A 5,138-nucleotide genomic window follows, 5' to 3' on the forward strand; every position below is an offset into this window, starting at 1 on the left:
AAAGAACTTTGTATGTTCAAGGAACATACAGAGGAGGGACCTACATATAGGGACAAAGGGCAGGTGGTGCTGGATGAGGCTGGACAAGTGAATAAGCACAGCCACACCCAGCTTCGTAGATGCTGTTAGGGAGTATAAGCAGGATAATCAATGACACTGTGTTTAGCTGAGCTGAAAAGAATAGGGAAGACTTTCTGGAGGTGGTGGACTTTGAGTTGGACTTTAATGGACAGATAGAACTGTATTAGGCTGTGGTATTCAAAATAGCTGTTCTGAGATTAAAAAAAACTTGTGCTTGAATGTAAATCAATACATTACTTTCTTCATCAAGGCAGCCTTGCATTGGGCCACCTGGCATTCATAGGTAGGAGGTAGAGAAGAAGAGAGAGAAAGAGAAATTTGGTAAAGCAGGTGCAGTCAAACCAGATCACAGAAGGGTACAAATAGTAGGATAAGGAGTTGGGACTTTATGCTGTGGGCAATTGTGGGACATTAAATTTTCTTTTTAGAAGAATGGCAAGATTAGAGCTATAGTTAGAAAGATAATCTAGCATGATGTCATGGCTGGGTAGATCCAAGGGAAGAAAGTGTGGGGCAGTGATCAGAAACACTGTGGAAGTTCAGTTCTCTCTTTTGTGGTTTCATTAATTTAACAAGATTTGTTTTATCTTTGAAATGATGGCTGTGGCCTAAAATGTGCTATTATTTATTGTCATCTTCCCATGCTAATTTTTGGTGATGATGCTGACTTTTGATGAACAAAGCCAGGAGTCTTCAATAAAATAAAACAGAAGTCTTGAGAACAAAAGTCAATTGTGGTCTGCTAATTTTTAGCATATTTATTTATTTATTTTTGGAAGTAAGGAGAGTGTCTATTCTGTAAATGTTGACTTGGGCAAAATATGAAATTTTACACAGACCTATCACTTTCAGAGTAATGTCAAAAGGATCACGTAGAGAAATTTGGTGAATTATCAGCAGGTTAGTTGTAGATAAAAGACAGCAGGCTGGGCACAATGGCTCATGCCTGCAATCCCAGCACTTTGGGAGGCCGAGGCAGGCGGATCACGAGGTCAGGAGATTAAGATCATCCCGGCCAACATGGTGAAACCCCGTCTCTCTAAAAAATCCAAAAAAAATCTGCCGGGCATGGTGCCACATGCCTGTAGTCCCAGCTACTCGGGAGGCTGAGGCAGGAGAATTGCTTGAACCTGGGAGGCGGAGGCTACAGTGAGCTGAGATTGCACCACTGCACTCCAGCCTCCTGGGCTACAGAGTGAGACTCCATCTCAAAAAAACAAAAAACAAAAAACAAAAAAAAAACAAAAAAAAGAAACACCACAGCAATTACTTTTACTATAAAGGCTGCAAATAAGATTTATAGAAGAGAAAGGGGTGAGGTGGAGAAGAAGAAAACAACTGCAGGCAGTCTAGGGAAAAAGTGAATCTCGTGTGCACATATTCTGGGTAAACTAATTAGCTGGTATCAAGTAAATATTTCAGGGTGGACAGTATTTCTTTGAGAAGACAGGCTAGAGATGTCAAGGGGAACCATTCCCATTGTTTATGGATTCTCTGGAAAGCCTGGAGAGTCTGGTTGAGGCACACATGTGATGGGCTTCTTCTCTGTCCTCCTGCGTCCTTGCCGCGGCACCTTCACCACTTTCTTCATCAGAACTTCTCAGCTATCAAACTGATGTTATCAAAGTGATGGGAGTAACATAGTGCTGAGCATACTGTAGGTGCTCAATAATGCTCTTTAAAACACATGCACTTATGGGCACACACAAATTGGAGTGGTGACAAATGCCTAGTCACACGTCAAAGAAGCCTGTAGAGCAAGCATGTCCAACCTACAGCCCGCAGGCTGCATATGGCCCAGGACGGCTTTGAATGTGGCCCAACACCAATTTGTAAACTTTCTTAAAATATTATGAGATTTTGTTGTGATTTCCTTTTTAAGCTCATCAGCTATCATAAATTAGTGTATTTTATGTGTGGCCCAAGACAATTCTTCTTCTTCCAGGGAAGCCAAAAGATTGGACACCTCTGCTGTAGATGGTTCTGTTTGGTGACTGGCTTTAGCTAAGGGAATAGAGTTATCATCAGACCTGATGCTCCAGGCTCTTTCCCTCCCAGCTTTGTGTGTGATTCCTCTAGAATATACATCCATGCTTCACTCACATCTGCCGTTAATAACCTGTCGATGGGATCTGTACTTTACGTGTTCTGTGATGTGAACATTTTGGACCTTTTTCATAGAATACTCTCCTATCTTAAGCCTGCATACATAATTACTATAATTTCTTTCTTTCTCTTTCTTTTCTTTCTTTCTTTCTTTCTTTCTTTCTTTCTTTCTTTCTTTCTCTTTCTTTCTTTCTTTCTTTCTTTCTTTCTTTCTTTCTTTCTTTCTTTCTTTCTTTCCCTTCCTTCCTTCCTTCCTTCCTTCCTCTCTCCCTCCCTCCCTCCCTCCTTCTCTCTCTCTCTTCCTTCCTTTCTTTCTTTCTTTCTTTCTTTCTTTCTTTCTTTCTTTCTTTCTTTCTTTCTTTCTTTCTCTCTTTCTTTCTTCTTTTTTTTTTTTGAGACAGAGTCTTGCTCTATTGCCCAGGCTGGAGTGCAGTGGCGTGATCTCAGCTTACTGCAACCTCCACCTCCCGGGTTCAAGTGATTCTCCTGCCTCAGCCTCCTGAGTAGCTGGGATTACAGCCACCCTTCACCATGCCTGGCTAATTTTTGTATTTTTAGTAGAGATGGGGTTTCACCGTGTTGGCCAGGCTGGTCTCGAACTCCTGATCGCAGGTGATCTGCCCGCCTTGGCGTCCCAAAGTGCTGGGATTACAGGTGTGAGCCACTACGCCTGGCCTTACTATATTTTCTATAAGGCCAGACTCCAAATCATTCTGAAGTCACTTCTTGAAGCCATTTCCTATTCCCTCCGTTCACAACAGTCTCCCTTCTCTAAATGCTTCTTAATAAATTTACCAACACATCTCCTATATATTTATTACTTTTGTCAATTCATTCAGTAAACATTTCTTGAAAGCCTACTCTGTTATTTAATGAATGTTTACTAAGTGCCTTTATTATTATCATTTTTTTGAGACAGAGTCTCGCTTTCTCGCCCAGGCTGGAGAGCAGTGGCACAGTCTCGGCTCATTGCTTACTCCGTGCCCCTGGGTTCAAGCAATTCTCCTGCATCAGCCTTCCGAGTAGCTGGGATTACCAGCACCCACCACCATGCCTGGCTAATTTTTGTATTTTTAGTAGAGATGGGGTTTTGCCATGTTGACCAGGCTGGTCTTGAACTCCTGACCTCAGGTGATCCGCCTGCCTTGGCCCCCTAAATTGCTTGGATTACAGGCGTGAGCCACCACGCCTGGCCCTTTATTATTAAATATATTATTCCATTCATGACTTGAAGCCATTCTACAGATAGGGCTGTTATTGCCATGTTACAGATGAAGAAGCCTGCACTTGGGAAGATTATGTGGCTTTCTAGAGGCAGACAGCTAAGTGGGTTAGTAAGGTGACCAACCATTCTGATTTGCCCAGAACTGAGGGGTTTCAGCAATTGTGAACTTTCAGAGTCTTGGGCAAGCCAGAATGGTCAGTCAACTGACCTAGATTTAAACTTTACTCTTTGCCGACTTTGACCTTAGGCAAATTTCTTCACCTCTCTGAATCTGTTATTTCATCTGCAAATTTTGGTCCTGAGAAAATTAAACAGATCACGTGTATACAATGATTAGCACAAAGGAACAACTCAAAAAGTAGCAGCTATTATTATCCTTAAAAGGCTTTGGGCTGTTAGTTATTTGGAAAGTTTATGCCTGGGATCTGTGCTTTCAGCAAATCTAAATATGTGTGGCCTGAAGTAGAGGTGACAGCCTCAGAGGCTGTTATCACGTTCTTTTCCTTTGCAACTATATAGAAGTTAGAGAGAAAGGAGAAAGCAGACATTTAACAAGCAATTATACAATTGCTTCATTAACTGACAATATTATGAAGAAACACCGGGTTTTCTGTAAACCTATGGAGGGAGATAGGAGTGTGACTGATCTGGGTAGTCCAGGAAGGCATCTCAGAGGAGGTGATTTTTACTAGCTCTGAAGGGCAAACAGCTGGGTGACTGTGAGTATGGAGGGTTTTAGGTGCTTTCAGTCAGAGGGAATAGCATTTAGAAAAACCCTGAGGCTGGAAGGAGCCTGGCATGATTGAGGGTCTGAAAGGTGGCTCTTGTGGCTGGAATACAGATAGAGAAGGAAAGGAGAGGCTGTAGTTTCTGGCTGTGATTCTGGACCCTCTGTGGGTCCTTGAATCAACCTGACTGTGCCAATGTCAGGGGTATTGTTTCATCATCACTACTATAATCTGCGTAATCACAGCACTTGTCCATAGAGCTCTCACTATGTATCAGGCACAGTGGTAGGCACCTTCCATGCATTATTTTATAGGAACTTCCCAACAGCCCTGGGAGAATGGCATTGTTATCTTTGTTTTACTGATAAGGATACTGAAGTTCATGGAGTTCCTTGACTTGCCCAAGTCATACAGTTAGTAAGTAGAAGAAATGAGTTGGAAGCTAATTCCATTTTATTGTACAACCCCAGTCTCTTTATACCACACTCATTGCTTCTTCCAGTCCCCCTCTTCCTCCTCAACTCCAACACTCAGCAAAGTGCAAATTGGTATTTGCTCAGCGGATTATTGCTATGATTATTATTTTGGTCAGCAGATGGCAGGTTTAGGACATCACCTCCCCTAAAAGTGGTACAAATAAGGAATAGGAAACAACAAAATAAGACATCCTGCATCATGAAATAGGCATCTACACTATAGGAAGATGAAATAGAATTGAGATAAGCTATTGGATGATGGATCCAAATGAATTACCTACAAATGAATATTCAAGGACAGAGTGAAATACTAAGGTAAATCTGTCATCTTTGAGTGACATCACTTTGGCCACTGGATGTCACGCAAAAATTCCACACCCAAATCCTGGCTTATGCATTCAGATGTTTAAGAGCTGCTTCACTAATTTACTGATGAACACTTTGTCATATGTAATTGGATATAACATATCACCTCCTTGGTTCGTTGGGAGGACTAAATGAAAGCACTCATATGGAAATATA

The sequence above is a fragment of the Homo sapiens genome, chromosome 9, assembly GCF_000001405.40.
Source record: "Homo sapiens chromosome 9, GRCh38.p14 Primary Assembly".
In the NCBI taxonomy this organism is placed as follows: Eukaryota; Metazoa; Chordata; class Mammalia; order Primates; family Hominidae; genus Homo; species Homo sapiens.